Genomic DNA, 21,158 nt, shown 5'->3' with positions numbered 1-21,158 from the left:
TCCCCATATGCAGAACTCCCCATGATGTGATCTAATACTTTCATCTCAGAACTAAGAAAGCTCTTTAAACTCATGAAAAGATCAACATCTTTAGGGACTAGCTGACCAGTTCACTTGTACTCAACCACTATCTTTACCAAAAGGCGGATTTCTTTTTCTTTAAGTAGGGACAGAGTTTCACCATGTTGGCCAAGCTGGTCTTGAACTCCTGACCTCAAGTGATCTGCCAGCCCTGGCCTCCCAAAGTGTTGGGATTACAGGCGTGAGCCACTATGCCCGGCTTTTTTTTTTTTTGAGACTGGGTCTCGCTCTGTCACTGGAGCCTAGTGGCACGACCTTGGTTCAATGCAACCTCTGCCTCCAGGGCTCAAGCAATTTTCCCACCTCAGCCTCCCAGGTAGCTGAAACCACAGGTGTGTGCCACCACACCTGGCTAATTTTTGTAATTTTTTTTTTTTGTACGAGATGGGGTTTTGCCATGTTGCCCAGGCTGGTCTCGAACTCCCGGGCTTAAGCAGTCCTCCCATCTGGGCCTCCCACAGTGCTGGGATTACAGGCATAAGCCACCACACCTGGCCCCTGATTTCTTTCACACATCTTGGCTTAAAAGCCTGCTGAGCCCCACAAGCACATGCCCAACAGACAGTGGGGAGATACCTGGCTGGCTCACCTGAGCAGCTGTCTTGGTCCGGGAAGGCAGGCCAACAGAGGAAGCGGCGGGAAACTGAGTGTGTGTGAGCTGGGCCGGGGGGTGGTAGGTGCGGATGTCGCCGTACCGGTACTCTTGAAACAGCTCCCCGCTGGAGTGCACAATCTGCACCCCATGGGTCACCACCACAGGAGGGGTCAGAGGCAGCCCCTGGAGTTGGTTACTGGGGGTAACTGTGAGGATACGGGCCTCACCATGAGGGGCAGGAGCAGGGGCAGGAAGGGGGACAGGGACAGGGACGGGGGCAGGGGTGGGGGTGGGGGCAGCTTTGGCATCTGGTGTCTTGGCAGCTTCCTTCCCTGGCTGCTGAGGGGCCTTGCTGGCTGGTGGCACCTTCACCACCCCATCCGCGGCCCTGGGCTGCTCGCTGACTGCCGTCACATGTGGATGCACCATGATCCTCACATCCCGTGGCACAGTATAGGGGTGCAGTCGGTACTCAGACTGCATGACTAGTACCTCTGACTGCACAGGGGCTGTGGCTCGAGCGACAGGAAGGTGATAATGCACTTCCTCCTCGGGAGGGTGCTGGGAGGCCAGTGCAGGCACACCAGCTGGGGCTGGCTGCGGGGTGCTGGCACGCTGTGGGGCCCTGACCTCTATTTGCTGGGGCTGCAGCGGAGCCCGAGGAGAGTGAAGCGCTTCTGGCCGGATGCTGTAGGTGATACTGGGCAGCGTGGGAGTGTTCATTCTCACCTCGCCCTGGGAGAGGTGGCTCAGGGACACAGTCTGGGTGATGCTGTGGGGTGGCATGATGACAGACTGCTCTGGGTGGATGCTGGAGATGAACTGGGGCACTGGGATGCCTGCAGCCAGCATGACTGTGGCGTTGGTGGAGAGCGCCGTAGATGCAGTACTGCTGGGGTGGCTTGCCCTTGGGAATGAGGATGGCCCGGGTCCACTTGGTCGAGGAGAATGAGCATCTAGCTTTGCAGCTGCCAAATGGGAGACAGTTCGATCTGCTGGGATGCTGGGCCCCGAGGGGACATGGTTGACTTCTGTAGGCAGTTTGCTGGGCAGAGCAGGAGGGTGGTGGGGCGTGAGCGTGGACCCCAGGTTGGCCGGCTGAAGGACCTTGGTCTCGATTTTAAGGGTGACGGGGTCAGCAAGCTTCTTGTTTGTGGTGACAATGCTTGGGGTGAGGACCAGCTGGTTGTGAACCAGCACAGGGGGTGTGTTGATCCCCTGGGTGAGAACCTTCACTGTGCCTCCCTGGGTGACAGGCGTGGACACCGAGAGGTGAATGGGCTCGGGCTTCTCCAAGGATGGCCTATCGGCCTTCACAGACGAAATCACAGGAGAGGCATTATATGTCTGGGCGGTCAGTACCAACGTGGAATGGGTGGCCACGTTCGCATAGCCTGCAGGAGCTTGAGGGCCTTTGGATGGAGGCTGCGATGCTGTGACAGAATCAGGTTTGACCTGGGACTTGGACACTGACTGCTGAAATTCAATGTCCATTGCACTGGCCGGGGGGATCTGGCTGATCTTGGCGCTGATCCGCTGTGGGCCTTCGGTCTTCTGCCCTGAGTAACTCAGGAGCACAACCCCTTCAGAAGTGTTCACACGCAGCCCCGCCCCTGAGCCCGCGTCTGCCGGACGATCGTCGATCACAGGCATGGACCCTGGGTGGAACCGACTGTTTTCATTAGCACTCGCTCTCTGTTTGCACTTTGTTGACGGCGCAATCACTGCCCCTGCCATTGTCACCGTGCCTGTTGTGGCCGTTACACCACCAGATGCAGCAGTAACCGCACCCGCTGTGACGGTCACTGCACTTGCTGTGGCATTCACTGCACTCGCAGCGGCATTGACTGTGCCTGGGGCGGCATTCACTGTGCCCACCGTGGCGTTCACTGGAGTGGTGAGAACATTCACTGGCCCCGTAAGAACATTCACAGGCCCTTTCAGGACGTTCACGGGCCCAGCAGGGGTGCTCACCAAACTTTTCAGTGTGGTCACTGAGCCCTTCACGGGGCCTTTCAGGGCATTCACCGGGACCAGGGAGACGTTCACCAGGCCAGTGAGTGCGCTCACCAGACCAGTGAGGGTTTGAGGAGCTGGTTTTGCCAAGGTTATCTTCTGTGAATTTTCCAGGTCAATGCTGACAGGCATCCGGCTAATAACAGAGGTAATTTTGGGAGCAATGACTGGAGCCACCTTTTCCTTGTCAGCAGCTACCAGCACCTCCGAGGCTTGTATCTCAGAGTTGTTTGTCACTGGAGGTGCTGTTTTTTCTTCTAAAGGCTTTTTAGAGTCAACTGGCGGGGGCGGGGCCTCATGTAGGCAAGGGGCAGCACTGACAGGCTCTGCAATGGCTGTGGTGACACTTGTGGAAGTGACACTTGTGGCAGACACATACTTGGGGTCCATGAGAATCTTCCTCAGGGTGCTGGAGCTGGTGTCAACATCAGAGGCCTTTGTGTCTGGGGGAAGAGCTGGAGATGGAGTAGACTGAGCCCGTGGCTCCTCCTGCCTTGTGATCCACTCTGTCACCTTAGTAGGGGGGCTCTGGTGTGGGATCCCCCCAGAGGCGACAGGAGGTGAGAGCTTTGCTGCAGTTACAGAAGGCAGTGTGGGTATGGGGATGCTTGGATCGCTGGGTGGGGTCACCGGGTCACTTTCAATGATGGAATGCACCCTGAACCTGGCTTGAGGCTCCTCATCCACCGGTGCTGGCTGGGGAGGTGGGGGAAGGTCTGGGGGCACAGATGCTTTGGTTGGAGTCCTTTCCTCAACACTGATTTCTTGGGACGAATTCTCTGTGGAGGGAATCTTGCTTAGGTCAGAAGTACATGACTGAGGAGGAGTGGAATGGGGTTTCTCACTCTGCTTTTCTTCCTGTGGGGCTTCGGGGTGCTGTACTGTTGTCCCCTCATTTGCAGCAGGACTCTCACCTTGAGCTTGGTTGGATTCAGGGACATGGCTCTCTACAGGAGCCACCACTTTCTTGTTTGTGTTTCGCTTGCGGCGTGATCGGGTTGTTTTCTGGCGCCCTTTGTCTTTCCGAACAAGAGTGACTTCCACTTCTTTAGACCCTTTGGCTTCTGGCACTGAGTGTGAGGTTTCACTGCTATTTCCTCTGGCTTCCTTGGTATCTGTTGGGCCGGCTGAGGGGTCAGGAGCATTGACTGGAGGCCTAGAAGATTCTGTAGCAGCCTCAGTTTCCAGGATGCCAGATACAGCCTCATCTGTCTCCATTCCTTCCTCAGAAGGCTGCAGCGCCTGTGCACCTGCGGGGGGTTGCAGATCTGTCTGGGATTCTCCAGGATAAGGTGGAGGTGCTGGGAAGTTTTCTGGCTCCCCAGAAATGTCATTGATGATGGAGCCGATGGCCGCAGCCAGCTCTGTTTCACTTGCTTGGTGTGCAGGCTTGTCCCTGTCCTCTGGGGCAAGGCCCTCTGGTGCATCTGCCTTATAGGCAGCAGAGGCAGAGGCCTCAGCGAGCTTTGCGATGTGTTCCACGGCCTGCTCCAGCTCCATCTGCTTGGCTAACTGGGTGGCTTCTGGGGACGGCCCAGAGGCAGACACGTCTTCTTTCTCTGGTTCCTTGTCTGGATCAACTGGATCACTTTTCAACTGGGATGATAAACCATCCTCCTTTTGGGGACTCTCACTTTTCTCAGGGGAGACTGCCACCACCCCAGATTCCCTCTCCCCTGCCTGTGCTGCAGCCCCCCTGGGACTGACAGCAGCATCCACATTTTTCAGACTTGCAGATTTGTCCACTGCTAACCTGGAGTTTCGAGATCTTCCTCTCTTTGATTTGGAGTTTTTTTCAGGGGCCGGTTTTTTCTCTACAACTTCAACAGGGGCGGTTTCAGGGGGGTTTTTGTCTGTGCCAGCATCTTTTCTGTCACGTTTCTGTTCACTCCCTGCCTCCTCCTCAGCAGCCTTGGGTTCCATGGAGCTCTCTTTCACGCCTATTTGGGGGCCCACCTCAGTGGTGGCCTCAGGACGTGTAGCATCCACCTTCGGTTCATTTTTTCCCTTTTTCCCTTGGGGTCCACCACCAGCTGCAGTTTTCTGGGACCTTGGCGACCGCCATCCCTCAGGTGGCTTGAGTGTTTCTGCAGGTTCCTTGGCCTCGTTCTCCTCCTCTTCATCGGCTCGCCGGCGTGTCTTTGGAGGCCTTCCCCTCCGAGGGGTGGTGGGAACCGCTGCAGCCTCCTGAAGCTCTCGCTCCAATCTCTTTCTGGTCACTCTTGGTTGCTCAACGGGCTCTTTGACAGGAGAGCGGTTTTCATGGTCACCCATGGTTGCATAGACGCTCCTTACATTCCGGCGCCTTGTTCGGCTGAGAGGCAAACTTGGTTCGGGATGTTCAAGGTCTGCAGCAGAGTTTTTAGAAGCAGTCCTTGTAATCTTCTCTGCCTCCATCTTCAATTCCAAAAGCTTCTGTGCTTCTCCCCGAGGAGAATTGGACCGCTTGAGTTTTTCCCGGTCTATCCTCTCACTCTTCCTTGTGACGGGCTTCTCCACGATACTCACTGCAGCTGCCTGAACAGGGGTCTTTGAACGCTTGCTTTTGTTTGGCTTTTTATCCTTTGCAGCAACTGGAGGATCAACCTCTAAATCTTCAGAAGCTGGGGGCTGAGACTCAGGAGCAGCTTCGGCTTTCTGGTTTGCATCAGGCTCAGCATCTGCAGTGGCGTCTGGCTTTTCGGCCTTTGGCTCATTGGCTTCCTCAGACTTCTGAGCTGGTTTTGAAAGTGGCTGGGTACTGTCAGGCTCTGGATCTACGTTGCTCTCTGCCTGGGAAAACGAGGCCCCGGGAGTTGGAGGCTTGGCATCCAGATAAGGCGGCTGGTCACCTGATGAACCTTCCTCAACACCCGCAGGCATCATGGCAGCTTCTTTATCGGGGTCTGCTCCTGGGGGCAGGTCTACTTGTTCCAGCTGTTCCACAGGGGCAGGAGCAGGTTCAGATGCAGGCTTTGCTTCTTCTGAGACGGTAGCTGGCTCCACAGTCTTCTCTTCTGTTACCAAAGGCGCCTCTACCGTTTTGTCACCAGTGGTCTTCTCTAGTGCTGATGGGGCTGATTCTAGAGTTACGACTGTGACACTTGGAGGCCCAACGGAAGGTGGAGTTTTCAGTTCTGAATCTTTATTCTCAGGAGCAGATTCTGGGGTCTTGGGATGATTCTCTGTATCTTCCTGTTTCTCAACCTCTTTGGGTTTCTGGTCTTTTTCTTTTTCTTTCTGTTGCATCCGTGTGAGCTCCATAAATCTGCTATGGAACAGAACTACTGGTTCTTGAATGGAATCAGTTGTGCTGTTTGCTCCCTCAGATGTCTGCTTCCCATAGATCCTACCAGAAATGAAGTCAGAATCTTCCTCTTTTCTCTCTAGATGCTGCAATCGCTTGGAATCTTGTTCAAAGATTGAGCTGTGTAAAAAACGAGAAGCAAACAATTCCTGCCTCTCTTGCTCTTCTTCTTTATGGTCCTCTTTCTTATCATCCATTTTCCCTTCTGAATCAGTCCTAATTTTCTTCTTTTTCATGTACCAGGATGGAATAGGTCTTGGAGCAGAGTCAACCTTTTCTTTATCTTTGTTGTTTCGAAAATTTGCAAATCGGGAGTCCCAATCAAGAAAAGACCAATTTTCTTCACGAGATGAAGAGAGGGATTTAGCTCTTTCAAGCAAAGCTTTAGTGTCTGGTGTGATTGTCTTATCCAATGCAAAAGAGTAAAATTTGTTCCTTTCTAAAGAACTAGAGAGTCTTTCATCTCGCTCACGTAGCTTGTCTTCTCTGTCCCTCAATAAAAAAGACAATCGAGAACTTTCATATAATGCAGAGGCTCTGGGTGAGTGGGATTTGTGTTCACCATCTTCGTCAGAATCAGAAGGCACCTCACCAGGTTCCAGATCTCGTACAGACCTTTTTCGAAGGCTATCTCTCTTAATTATGCTGTTTGGGAAACTCACATCAAATCTGCCAGCATCCTGTTTCATCTGAGAGTCCCAACGATTTAGTTCATCTTCAGAATTCAAGACAGATAGTTTTATTTTGGCCATATCTGCCATCTGTTCTCTCCTGCTAGAATCATAAGGATTAAATTTTAAAGACTCTTCCCTGACTGTTATGTTAGAATAGGGGAGGACTTTTTCATCTACTTTAGGAGACCCTTTTACTGACAGTAGCCTAGGGGAGCCTATGGGATCCTCATCTTCATGGAAGGAACCATGTCGGACACTGGGAGAACCACCAGTCCTTTCAGAATCTTCGCTGATTTGGCGTGAACTTCTGTAATTCCGTTCTCGCTTGGTGCAGATATCAAAATCGACATGATCCATCCTTTTCTTTTTGCTAGGAGGAGAGTCATCAGTGACATCTTGAGGGGGTTTGCCTACCTCGTGAACGAGGCTACGTCTTTCATATTCATCTACATCTTTTTTAGGACTGCCAAACTTCTCAGACTTGGCTATTTCCATTTCCATCTGCTGTTTCCTACGACTCTGTTCCATTTGTTTTCGGTAACTCTGCGTGTGATCGATGTCAATGCCAATTTTTTCTTCAGTATTTACTGAATGTGATTTCTCTTGGCCTGATTTACGTTCAGGTGTTTCATCACGAAGACTGCAATAGTTTTTCCTAACGTCTTCTCTCTCTGGTCCTTGATCATCTAATACCTGCAGCTGTTTGAGCTGTGGTTTTGAGGGAATGGGCTTTTTTGATTGGACTTCTTGATTTTCCACAGATTCACCTGCTAGTTCTCCCAGTCTTGCTTGTAGGTCTGAGCTGGGCCTTGAGCCAGACCCAACAGAAATACTGGCAAGCTCCTGACAGTCTTTGGGGCTGGCAACAGTATTAAGTCTGTCCAGTTTGATTTTTTTAGATTCTCTTTTAAGAATTTCTTTCCTCACAGGCTTTCTTTCAGCCTCTCCTTCCCTCAGCAGAATGACCTCTCTAGAGGACACGTCAGGCTGCTTTTTTGAAAGCACGCGAGCATCCTCCATCTCTGGACTGCTTTTCTTGACCTCTGGTTTTTGCTTTTCTGCTTTTAAATTGGAATCTGCAAAGCGCCTTTTCCTGGCTTCCAGCTTCTCCAGATCCACAGCACTTACCCCATCTGCAGGCTGCTCAGGCTTGAGGTGCTTCCTGGCTTTAAGCCTGCCTTCCTTCTCCACCACTTCAACATGGCTTGAAAGCCCCTTTTCCTTTGGTACTTTCATTCTAACTGATTCCAGTTTAGACAAGTCAGATTTTGCAGGCTCCGTCTGAGAGACCTGAAGTTTCTGGTCCAGGGCAGAAGATTTGACAGTGTCATTATCAAGCTTGGCTTTCAACTTTTCCACAGGAGTGTGGTCAATGACCTTTCCCTCTTTCTCTTTCACTCGAGTCAAAACCACGCAAGGCATGAGTTCCAGGCGGTTTTTCGCTATTCCCTCTTTGTCAGCTTTCTCTCTGCTCAGTTTATTACAACTCCTGGGCTTTTCAGGGCTTTGCTCTCGCTCATTTTCTTGGTCCGTTTCTGAAGACTGAGAACTAGGGGAGTGAACCTTTCCTTTGCGTTTCTGCTTGTCAGTTTTGTCCTTTTCCACTTTTTCCTTCCGTATTAAGCGTCTCTCTCTCTCCACTCTCTCCGGATCAAAAGTTCGTTCTTTATCTGTCTTTTCATTTTTTGTATAGCGCTCCAAACGAGACTTGTCCAGTTTCTCATATCTTGGAGGGGAGAGTGAGCTACAGCTTCCACTCCGGTCTGAGGATCGGCTGTAAAGCCTCCTCTCAGAATCACTCGGCAACCTCTCTGCCTGAGAGGGAGACGCTCCAGGACTCTGTGGACGTCGCAAGTGAACAGGACTTTGACTTCGTTCAATCGGCCTCCTCTCATGGTCTCTGTCCCGGTCAGACTCAAATCTTTCACGTTCTCTTTCTCGTTCCCTTTGCCTGTAACTATATTCCCTAATATCTTGTTCATAAGGATCATTCCTGTAATCCCTGTATTCCCGAGGATCATCGTAGTATCGTGATTCATAGTAGTCTCCTTGGTAAGTTTCCCATTCTGAATAAAACTCTCTCCCTCGAGCTGGATAGTCCCGCCTGGAATCCTCAGGATAAGTGCCTGGAGTTCGAACACTCTCATAATATGTACGATCTTGGTTATAGTCGTAGGATGCCCTTCGTTCCTCTCTGCCAAAAAATAACAAAGATATTAGTTCTTTTGTTTCCTCATCACTTATGCATAAAATCATACATATGAAATCAGAAATTCCTGCTTCTAAAAAATCTTTTGACATTATTTAATCATTTGTGAAATGATTAGTTTGTAGTAGCTATCCACTATAGCTTCAAGTAGCTACTAGGCACTTGAAATCTAGCTAAATTGAGATGTGTAAAATACACAGCCAATTTTGTAGACCTAGTTTATAGAAAAACAACAATTTAGACTGATTATATGTTGAAACAACGTTTTAGATATATTAAAGAAAATTTCACTTTGTCTTTTTAATGTGGCTACTAGAAAATTTAAAATTACATATACAGAATTTATATAACTTACATTATGCTTCTATTGGGCAGTGGTGATTCAACCCTTTTTTAATGTTTCTGGTAACTCCGGCGTTGTGACAAAGCAGACACTAGTTACTGGACAATATCCCCACACTCCTACCTAAGTCTCCCACAAAATTACTATTCTATAAAAAGATATTCTTACAACTTGGGAAATAAATCCACTGTTTAGAAAAACAGATAAAAATTTTAACTAAAATTTTGCCATCTATATGACCTGTATGATACTGGTAACACTTCTATCTAATTCACAATTTTTAAAAAATACTGGAACCTGGTTAAACTCTCTGAACTCAGTCTCCTCACTCATAAAATGGCAGCTTTTCCTCATAAAGCTGTTAAAAAGATTAAGATAATATCTGTAAAAACTTTCCTACATAATCCTAGGCAGGTACTTGGCCTCAGTAAATGTTGTCACTTTCCCCCAGGCTGCCAACTAACAAACCAGGGATGACTGCAAGCACCATGAGAGAACTCCTCCAGTTTTAAGGAACTCACCACAGGTTTTCTCCCACAGGGACCTGTCTGGTGCATTCAAAATAGGATTAAATTTACACACAAGAACATATATTATATGAAATTAAATACACCTGTAACAGAGACCAATTACTTCCTTCACTCATTCATTCTCCGCAATGTTTGTTCTCTCATGTAGATACACCTGGCTCATTCTAGGTAACACTGCCATTAGTAGCTCGCTGAAAGAACACTAGAACTTGGCCGGACACGGTGGCTCATGCCTGTAATCCCAGCACTTTGGGAGGCCAAGGCAGGCGGATCACGAGGTTAGGAGATCAAGACCATCCTGGCTAACATGGTGAAACCCCATCTCTACTAAAAATAGAAAAAATTAGGCGGGCATGGTGGCAGGCGCCTGTAGTCCCAGGTACTCGGGAGGCTGAGGAAGGAGAATGGCATGAACCTGGGAGGCGGAGCTTGCAGTGAGTCAAGATTGTGCCGCTGCACTCCAGCTTGGGCGACACAGCGAGACTCCATCTCAAAAAAAAAAAAAAAAGAACACTAGAACTTAAGCCCCATAAAGGCACAGGCTTTGTCTTCTTGGCCAAAATTTCTCTAGCTCTTACAACAGCACTTGGCTCATAGCACTCAACTATTTGTTGAAAGAATGAACTTTAGAAAAATATATCAAAGCTGCTACTAAATGATGTTCCAACTCCTTTGAACAGCAAACGAAGCATCTAGACTGAACATTCCAACACTGGAAGCATCGATAACACATTATTTTATAAATATACATATTTATAAATATGTATATTTTGTAAATATATTTATAAATGTGTGTGTGTGTGTGTGTGTGTGTGTGTATGTATATATCTGAGCTGGAGTGCAGTGGCACAATCTCGGCTCACTGCTCTCCACCTCTGGGGTTCAAGCGATTCTCCTACCTCACCACCACCACAAGTAGCTGGGAATACAGGCATGCGCCACCACGCTTGGCCAATTTTTTTGTATTTTTAGTAGAGACAGGTTTCACTGTGTTGGCCAGGCCGAACTCAAACTCCTGACCTCTGGTGATCTGCCCGCCTCAGTCTCTCAAAGTTCTGGGATTACAGGCATGAGCCACTGTGCCTGGCCTATTATATGTACTTATATTGAACTTCCTCAGTTCAAAGAAAATATTTTATTGTGTATCTATGATATTTGGTTTAATTGGATTCAAGATGATCCTTCCATAGCTCCATGGAAATCAGATTCCTTGTCTAAATAGTGACGAGGCAGCTCATAAATAACTGTTACTAGGCATGGAATTAGGCTAATTTAACTCATTACCACCATAAATACATACTTTGAGGATGTATTTTCCACATGAAGGTGAACACATTATATACCTTCTAATATTATAAAGTGAGTAAGACACCTAGAATGGTCATTAGTTTACTGCCCATATTAATGGTAGGCTTGAGTCATATTTAAAAACACAGTATCAAGGTATCTTTTTAATTAAGCAAACTAAAACTATATCTAAAAATACGAGCTGGGCATGGTAGCTTAGGCTTGTAATCCTAGCACTTTGGGAGGCCTGCTTGAGGCCAGGAGTTCAAGACTGGCAGGATCAACACAGCAAGACCCCATCTCTACAAAAAAAAAAAAAAATTTAATAAAAATTTATTAAGTAGTAATATTAAAAAAAGTTTTGGAAGGCAGAAATATATGTATAAGCATTCATGCTGGAGCACTGTTCAGCTTAACAAATACTTATTTTGCTGGGCCCCATGACAACAAAAGAAATAAGCAGTTCTGCCCTCAAAGAATTCAACAATTTAAGCAGGGACAACACAACTGGCACTTGGACCATGTACGGGGACTCTGAGGAACTGCAGAAAGTCAGGTTCGGAGAGAACTCTGTTCACAAAACCACAGAGTATCCAAAGTGCCATAAGTAGATGTCATCTGAATCACAATGTGACCCTGTAAATTCATCTCGAGAACCACTCCGGTAAAGGGTAAGCTCAATGCACTAGCAGGTAGGAACCCTAGGTTTATCCCCAGCCCAGCCCCTTAGTGGCCTGTGATCTTATTAGCAAAAGTTCCTTCCATAAAAAGGGTTACCTGACAGAGTATTAGAGGGATCAAATGAAATACTATTGGAAAATGGGAAAGCCCTGTGCAAATAGAGTTGTCATTTGCATTCCTGAGCTTATCATTAGCATTAAAGCATTTTTTTTCATTCATGCATCAACTATTCAGTGAGATAACTTCCATTCTATGGAAGAGGCAAAGATCCTCAAGGTCTACTGCAAGGAATGCATTCCATAAGCACTGCCAACTGAAACCACATGGGGCAAACCTGGGTCACAGTGAAGTCCCACACCCTCCTGCGTCCTCATGAGGAGATAACTGCCATTTGAGAGGGATAAATAACCATGAGAAAAAACACAGAACAAACCCAAAGCCAGTTAGTTCATCACTAAAACAAACAATGACTTTTGGCCAAGCGTGGTGGCTCACATCTGTAATCCCAGCACTTTGGGAGGCCGAGGCAGGCGGATCACCTGAGGTCAGGAATTTGAGACCAGCCTGACCAACATGGAGAAACCCTGTCTCCACTAAAAATGCAAAATTAGCCAGGCCTGGTGGTGCGTGCCTGTAATTCCAGCTACTCTGGAGCCCGAGGCAGGAGAATCGCTTGAACCCAGGAGGCAGAGGTTGCGGTAAGCCAAGATTGCACCATTGCACTCCAGCCTGGGCAACGAAAGGGAAACTCTGTCTCAAAAAACAAAAAAAAAATAGATTTTAAGTAGTAATATACAAAAAGTAACACCCACATTACATTATTCAACCCTCACACAAAACTGCTGTTTTAAAATATTTAATGTACACAGAGGATTTTAATGGATTTTGTATGTTTTAGGTGCAAGTAGGCCTCCGGGACACTTTCCACTCACATATAGATAAGAATTCCTTGTAAGCATTTACTGTATTAACAATGACTTCAAACTGCTACTTGGGAAGCCAGGATAGAGAATTTTTTTCTCTCTTGACATGAGACACACACATTCTCCTGCATGTGGCCACATAATTTTACGCTCACTTTCACTCTCTTACACTCACACAACTGAGAAAACAGTCTATCGAGCCTGACTTTCTAGCTAAAGGAGTATTGATCTTTGAAGCTTTGTGATTTGGATTCTGATCTGGTGAGAAACCATCAAAACCTGACAAGTTTGAGCTTTTGAGAATTTGGCCGTAGGGAGCATTTTTCATTTAAAAACACCAGGTAGGCCGGGTGCGGTGGCTCACGCCTGTAATCCCAGCACTTTGAGAGGCCAAGGCGGGCGGATCACGAGGTCAGGAGTTCAAGACCAGCCTGACCAATATGGTGAAACCCCGTCTCTACTAAAAATACAAAAATTAGCCGGGCATGGTGGCATGCGCCTGTAGTCCCAGCTACTCGGGAGGCTGAGGCAGGAGAATCGCTTGAACCAGCAAGGCAGAGGTTGCAGTAAGCCAATATCGCATCACTGCACTCTAGCCTAGACCACAGAGCAAGACTTCATCTCAAAAAAAAAAAAAAGCACAAAGTATTCAACGACTGTTGTACAATATTCCACTAAGAAATTAATATATATTAATACTTGCTATCATTTAAACAAAAATGAATTGGCAAGAAGAGGCAGTAGAAAGGGAATGCATTCAACAGGGCTTGTGGCAGCACAACCCTGACTTGGCTCATCTTGCCATGGAGCCCTTTTCATACTTTGAACTCAAGTGTCTAAAGGCGTTTTTCACACAAACCTTTTGTCTAACACATATAGGGGTGGAGACCTAGTGGGAACATTCCAGGAAACTTAATCAGAGGTATGTCTGGAAAAACAGCTTGATAATATGGACCAAATTTCCATTTTCAAAAGTAATCAGCTATTGAAGAATCTGGTGGCATTATCTTAAGATGTTTTACTATATTTCGGTCTGTTCAGCAGAAAAAATATTAAATACTACATAACCATGACTGAAAGTATTAACAAGAGGAAATCAGGTTTGCCCTGCACATTGCCAAAGTTGCCAGTTTACATATGCTTTGGCTTATTGATTCACTTTGACTATTTAAGAGATTCAACTTTAAAATAAAGCTCTTGATATTCTTTTGGAAGTTTTTATTTATTTATTTATTTTTTAAGTTAAATGTATGAGCACATACAACCTGGTTGTTGTCATTACTAAATATGTAGCCATTTAAAAGTTTATAATGCACTCTAACATATATTAATACATTTACTTTAAGAAGTAACTGTAAGCAAGATGATTTGTATTTATGATTAATGGTACATAAAGCAGACCAGGTGTGGTGGCTCACACCTGTAATCCCAGCGCTTTGGGAGGCCAAAGCGGGCAGAATGCTTGAGCCCAGGAGTTCAAGACCAGCCTAGACAACATGGAGAAAACCCATCTTTACAAAAATTACTCCAGCGTGGTGGCAAGTGTCTGTAGTCCCAGCTAATCAAGAAGATGATGTGTGAGGATCACTTGAGCCTATAAGGCAGAGACTGCAGTGAGCCATGATCATGCCACTGCACTCCAGTCTGGGTGACAGAGTGAGACCCTGTCTCAAAAAAAAAAGTACATAAAGTTATCACCTGGCAAAACAGTAACTCTTTCAAGTTCTAGGAGCATTCAGTGAGAAATCCAGACAGGTTGCTCCAAACCCATAGGAATTACCTGGAAACTAGATTCAAAAAAATAAACCTGTGTTTCCATATGAAGTGATAAAAGAGAAGCATTCTCTATTCTAGAAGATGAAAGTAGGGGTAAAGAGTGAAAAATAAAATTTAATGCCATCTTAAGTTTCTGTATTAAAACTATTAAAACTCAAGCTACACTGGTAAGTTTAAAATACATACCTTCTTTCGGCTAACATTTCATAAAAGTCTCTGATGTCTTGACCAGATTTCTCCATGCAGTGATAAAAAGCCAGCTGACTTTCCCGATTTGCAAAATCCACCTTTAAAAAAAAAAAGAGGTGTTTGATGCAAGTTTCAAATTTTAATGATGGAAAAATGTTATCAGATTTGTAAATTCTTCACAACATAGCCCTTCTGAGAAAATTTCAGGAAACAGCAATGTATCTCAAGTAAAACAGTCCTCATCACTGAAACTATATTAACCTGAAATCTCTCAAATTCTGTATAAACCGTGATAAAAGAATGAAATTTATAAAGTTTCAAACCCAATTGTGAAGGAGTGAAAAAAGCAAAATGGAAAACTGAAATGGCAATTAAGTAATCAGATCAACTAAATCCAGCAATCTCTGTTGCCAAAACTACAGTTAGAATATAAAACAAAATATGGATGAACATTTTAAACTTTATTCACAGCTGGGCCTCAAAGTTACTAAAGCATATGATGCTCATCAGCTATCAAATAGCTTATCATCTTATTTTTAAAATACTTTTTTCAACCTAACAATCATAGTTATTTCATAGTTAAGTGCATAAATTCCTTCAAACTACCATGAATACAAGTTTTTAAAAACATACACTGGACATAAAGTTATGCTTTAAGTGGCTACCCACTCTTCAGGAGAGTAGGAAAGGAAAGAAAGACATATCATTCAGGATGCTGGACTGATACTATGAGGCCCTGGGTGTCAGATACCCATAACTGTGGTCAAGCCTGCGATGAGAGTGTCTGTGTGAGCATCAGCACCCGAACACTGAGAAGCACACTTCTTTGAATGAGAAGATTTTTAGGGAAGGATCTGTGGCTAATGGTTTAAAGATGCTGTGCCCACAAGTAGCTGAGCATAAAATTGTAATATTCCCCTTAAACACTAATGATACAGCATACGTGTCTTGTAAACCACTCCCCTGGCTGGCAGCCTACAAAATGCTAGTTATTAACGGGGTGATTTCTTTTTTTTGGAGATGGAGTCTTACTCTGTCACCCAGGCTGGAGTGCAACGGCATGATCTCAGCACACTGCAACCTCCGCCTCCTGGGTTCAAGCAATTCTCCTGCCTCAGCCTCCCAAGTAGCTGGGATTAACAGGCACGCGCCACCAAGCCCGGCTAATTTTTCTTGTATTTTTAGTAGAGACGTGGTTTCACCATGTTCATCAGGCTGGTCTCGAACTCCTGACCTCAGGTGATCCACCTGCCTTGGCCTCCCAAAGTGCTGGGATTACAGGCGTGAGCCACCACGCCCAGCCCAAGAGGGTGAGATTTGAATAGGACTTTGTTTTGCTTCTGTTTAAAGTCATTCTGCACACCTTAATTTTATTCCCACCGATTTTCCTCCCTTTGGTCTCTTTTACAGCTGCTTGTGCATATTCAATTTCATTGTAGAGAACCAGGGCCATGCCTTTTAAGCGGTCAAACACCACCTGTAAAACAAACAAACAAAAAACAAGTAAGAGCCTCATCCACTGGACTTAGTGTCAGTCCCAACAAAATCCTAAGCCACAAGGACACGGATGAGAAAAAATATATTTTTATATATTTTATTCTATTAAAAAAAAAAGTGTGATGCACACTGTAGTGAACACAATAAAATGAAAATGTGCAGGGACTGTTTAGAATCATAGACATTATGGCTTGAGATATTATGCCTTTATTTTGTTCTTCTGTATTTTACTTTGTTTTCCATGTTTACTGACCACTATATTGTATTTCAGTAAAGTATTCGTCTTGTTTTGGCTCAAAACAAAAAAGCAAAACCAACAACAGCAAAAAACACCCTTGAAAGGAAGGAAAAATTAAGAACAACAAAGAATTTCTGTGAACTTTGGCTACAAGTAGCATAACTGTCTTAAGGCTGTGGATTTTTTTATACAGGCAATCTTTAAGATGTGTATTTCTCTAAACAACAAAAGCTACATTTAAAGTATTGTCTGCCAGGCGCAGTGCCTGTAATCTCAGCACTTTAGGAGGCCGAGGCAGGTGGATCACTTGAGGTCAGGAGTTTGAGACCAGCCTGGCCAACATGGCAAAACCCCATCTGTACTAAAAATACAAAACTAGCCAGGCGTGGTGGCACACACCTGTAATCCCAGCTATTCAAGAGGCTGAGGCTAGAGAATCGCTTGAACCTGGGAGGCGGAGGTTGCAGTGAGCTGAGATCCCGCCGCTGCACTCCAGCCTGGGTGACAGAGTGAGACTCTGTCTCAATTAAAAATAAATAAATAAATTTAAAAAAAAAAAAGCATTGTCAAGGGTATACAATATACCTACCACAGAGTAAACATAGTTTTAAGGAACCAAAGCTTTACCTTCACACACTGAATTGGGTCTGGAGACCCTTTTCCTGTTGCTTATGGATGTATTACATAAAAATCATTGGTTAGATGAATATTCTGTTGTGTGAACTTCCCCTCATTTAAAAAAGTCTAATTACATATTTAGTGTAAATGTGAATAACTATATAGTCAGACTATCTAATTTTAATGTAAGATAAAATTATAAAAATCCCTAAGCAACATTTCTATTTCATTCTATTTATACTATGAGAATAGTTTCAAAATTAATCACCTTGGCTAGTTCAAAATAGTTTCTTCAAAATACTCATAACTTAAGGCAACAGATGCAAATGCCCTTATTGACCAAATCTTAGCAAACATAATTTTAATGTGCTCGTTATTAAAGAAATAGGCAATGCTAGCCAACTGAGACTGAAAGGAGAGAATACCAAGACGAGTGAGTCAGAAGTCTGAACCACATACCAAAACCTCCCGCCTACCTTTACCACAGGCCCATATCGGCAGAAATGTCGTGTTAAATACTGATCTGACACATTCGAAGAAAGCCCATCTAGCCACACGCAGTTTGTAGGCATGCTCTTTCCAAAACCCAGCTGAATATAAAAGGCAAAATTTCTATTAGTAAAGTTCACAATTACTATTCAACTACAACAGAATTCTCAGAAAACTGGTTTTCTATAGTAATCTTATCAAATCAACATCTCAAGTGGGAAACATCTGGTTAAAATTAAATAGGAATATACAAAAAAAATCCTGCCTGGCTAATCGAATATTAATCAGATTACAGTATATAATAGGATAGGAATGCAAAGAAGTATATCACTTTTATGGTTATCTGTCTTAGTAGGATCTTAAATAATAAGGCATATGCAAAAAAAAAACCCTTCAAGTCTTAAAAAACAAAGCAAATCATAACAGCACAATAATTTATGCAAATTCATTTACCTTGAGGCGATTATTTCCAAGATATTCCCCATCCATCTTCTTAATAGCTTTACAAACGCTAGCAATATCACAGTATTGCAGAAACGCATACTGAGGAACTCCATTTACTTTCTTAATGTCAATATCCTGAAAAAACCAATGAATACAACTTAGCAATATGCCCAAGAAAATAAATTAGAATGAACCAAGTCCATATAGGGTATTTATTTCTCAAAAAAGTCATGTTCTCAATCATCATTTACTTAGTTAAAAAAACTGTACACCTTAATACAATGGTAAGTTACTAGTTTGCTATAAAACATATAGCATTTATTGTCACAAACCATGAAATCCTTCTCATGTGAAGCTCTCTGCAGAGGAGCAACAGCATTGCAATTCAAAATTCAAAATTTAAAATCCATACTAACAGCATTAAGAGAAACTTAACGATAATAAAGAAAAGGCAGGCTATTTAATGAAATCCTAAGAAATAATTCCCTTCTGCAATATCTAAAATCGTTATTAGGGGCCAGGCCATTTAAAATATGATATCTGGCTGCGCACCGTGGCTCACGCCTGTAATCCTAGCACTTTGGGAGGTGGAGGCGGGCGGATCACTTGAGGTCAGGAGTTCGACACCAGCCTGGCCAACACGGTGAAAACCTGTCTCTACTAAAAATACAAAAATTAGCCAGGCATGGCGGCACATGCCTGTAATCCTAGTTATTCTGAAGGCTGAGGCAAGAGAATCGCTTGAACCCGGGAGGCAGAGGTTGCGGTAAGCCAAGATCGCGCCATTGCGCAGGTGACAAAAGTGAAACTCCGTCTTAAAAATAAATAAATAAAATAAAATATGATATCTGAGAAGATTAATAAATCTTTGTTCTTTAACCTTTAAAATTAAAAGATCAATAAATAAATAAATAAATAACAGATAACTGTCTAAAGACAAAAGAAGCTGGAGCCCAGATAGGTTACTGAATTCCATACCACCCATCTAGGTAGGCAGTAGAACTGCAATTAGAGTATATGCTACTCCCACAAAACCAAAATAATTTGACAAATCAAAATAATTGAAAATGAGGTCATCCATTTCTCCATCAGCAAGGAAGGACATTGGGGTGGGGCTGTCATACCTATCAAGGACAATAACTAACTACCAGGGCTTCCAGTGCTTTGATGAAACCTCAGATGTGTGACTTTCTGGCCAAGAATCTGTAATATCATATTGCTGGAGCATTAATTGGGGGTTGTGGTTCTCTATAAGTTTGCTGTGGCTGAACCAAGAAAGAAGGCATGTGCAGATTTCTACAGAAGTTACGATTCTATGAAAGATTTTGAGGAGATGAGAAAGGCTGATATCTTACAAAATGTTATCTCCCAGCCTGGGCATGGTGGCTCACACATGTAATCCCACCACTTTAGGAGGCCACGGCAGGTAGATCACCTGAGGTCAGGAGTTTAAGACCAGCCTGGCCAACACGGTGAAACCCCGCCTCTACTAAAAAATACAAAATTAGCTGGGCATGGTGGCGGGCGCCTGTAATCCCAGCTACTCAGGAGACTGAGGCAGGAGAATCGCTTGAACCCAGGAGGCGGAGGCTGCAGTGAGCCAAGATCGCACCACTGCACTCCAGCCTGGGTGACAAGAGTGAAACTCTGTCTAAAAAAATAATAATAGTATATCCCAAGATTACAAAGCTGTGACCAAAATATTTTCATTTTTAAACTGACTCTAATTTTAAGTCATAAAGGAACAGAAAACTTCTTGTACCCCTTAATCTAACAATGACTTGCATAATATAAAAAGTGATTCAAATTAAGACTTCCTAATAGAATTAAACTGCTAGCAGACGACATCCATATTCTAGTAATCCCCAAGGTATTTCTGATGTGCACTGTGATCACAAAACAATCATACACTAATTTGCTGCTTCTATTTTTGGAGACAGGGTCTCACTCTGTCACCCACGCTGGAGTACAGTGGCGTGATCTCGGCTCACCGCAGCCTCTGCTTCCTGGGCTCAAGTGGTTCTCCAGCCTCAGCCGCCTGAGTAGCTGGGACTACTGGAGCAAGCCACCAACGCCCAGCTAATTTTTGTATTTTTATAGAGACAGGGTTTCACCATGTTGCCCAGGCTGGGCTTAAACTTCTGAGCTCAAAGTGATCTGCCCACCTCACCCTCCCAAAGTGCTGAGATTATAGGTGTGAGCCACCATGCTCAGCCTGCTGCTTCATTTTTACAAACATTTTTCTCTTCCAGATTTTCCTTTCAATCCACAGGACTAGAGATGGCATTAAAACAGAACCCAATGAACAAAGAAAGATAAAAATGGGTAAGAGCCAGCCTGGGCAACATGGCAAAACACCACCTCTACAAAAAACACAAGAGTTAGCTGGGCGTGGTGGGACATGTCTGCAGTCCCAGCTACTCAGGAGACTGAGAGATGGGAGGATCACTTGAGCCCAGGAGGTTGAGGCTGCAGTGAGTCGTGATCATGACACTGCACTCCAGGCTCGGAGACAGAGTGATACTCTGTCTCAAAAAAAAAAAAAAAAAAGAGGTAAGAAAATATATATGTGTAAACAAAGGACATATATTACATTTTTACACACGTATATAGAACCATACCCAATGGGATTCTCTGGATTATCTTTTAGCAAGAGCTAAAAGCACACAACAATGTTCATTCATTACACCATTAAATATCACCTTTCCAAATATAATCTGTACTATGCTTTATGTGTTATGACAAAGACCTAAAATTGTTTACATAGTAAAAGCAACATACCACAATTTCTCCAAAGCGCTGGAAGATGTTGCGAAGGTCATGGTAAGTAGTGGTTTTTTCAAGGTTGCCAATAAAGAGAGTTCTTGTTGCTTTGGGGTGAAATTCATCTATCCTTTCATCCAAGGGGCGAAATTCATTTTCACTTTCTGTTTCTGTAAGTGGAATGGGGGCCGAGTAAAAAGAGAAGACAGTATTTTAATGCATATTTATATATCATGGAAAAATCTACATTTAAAAAACAAAATGTCTGAAATAATGGGCTTGAATACTCACATAAACTGAAATATCATAAACACCTTCAGAAATAGCCACCCCTTATTAACTCTAAAGCAAAAAAGGAATACAAAGGCTAAATAAACGTTTCAAAAAAAAATTAAGGCTAAAGTAACACTTTGTTTAACCTTTAAAATTAAAAATAAACTGATTTAAATCTGCTAAATTAGCTGGGAAGGGTGGCTCATGCCTGTAATTCCAGCACTTTAAGATGTCAAGGTGGGAGGA

At 44.3% G+C, this 21,158-nt stretch overlaps 1 protein-coding gene across 1 annotated transcript in view, besides 1 other annotated feature; it reads right to left on the bottom strand.

Annotated features, from left to right (window-relative positions):
* Positions 1 to 21,158, bottom strand: part of SPEN (spen family transcriptional repressor) — a 92,750-nt gene that overhangs the window by 3,520 nt on the left and 68,072 nt on the right. The window contains exons 6-11 of the mRNA NM_015001.3: positions 20,658 to 20,809; positions 17,886 to 18,011; positions 17,420 to 17,533; positions 15,954 to 16,067; positions 14,588 to 14,688; positions 671 to 8,846 (exon numbers count right to left, since the gene is read on the bottom strand). Of these exons, the coding sequence (NP_055816.2) occupies positions 671 to 8,846; positions 14,588 to 14,688; positions 15,954 to 16,067; positions 17,420 to 17,533; positions 17,886 to 18,011; positions 20,658 to 20,809 (8,783 nt within the window). The remainder of the gene's footprint in view (positions 1 to 670; positions 8,847 to 14,587; positions 14,689 to 15,953; positions 16,068 to 17,419; positions 17,534 to 17,885; positions 18,012 to 20,657; positions 20,810 to 21,158) is intronic.
* Positions 1,556 to 2,057: an enhancer, noted in NCBI's record as "H3K4me1 hESC enhancer chr1:16261375-16261876 (GRCh37/hg19 assembly coordinates)". NCBI's record gives its function as "activates a minimal SCP1, AML or CMV promoter by ChIP-STARR-seq in primed H9 embryonic stem cells {active_cell/tissue: H9 hESC(primed)}" and the evidence as "EXISTENCE:reporter gene assay evidence [ECO:0000049][PMID:30033119]".

This window comes from Homo sapiens, chromosome 1 (assembly GCF_000001405.40).
Source record: "Homo sapiens chromosome 1, GRCh38.p14 Primary Assembly".
NCBI lineage: Eukaryota > Metazoa > Chordata > Mammalia > Primates > Hominidae > Homo > Homo sapiens.
This window is presented reverse-complemented; position numbering and strand designations above follow the sequence as displayed.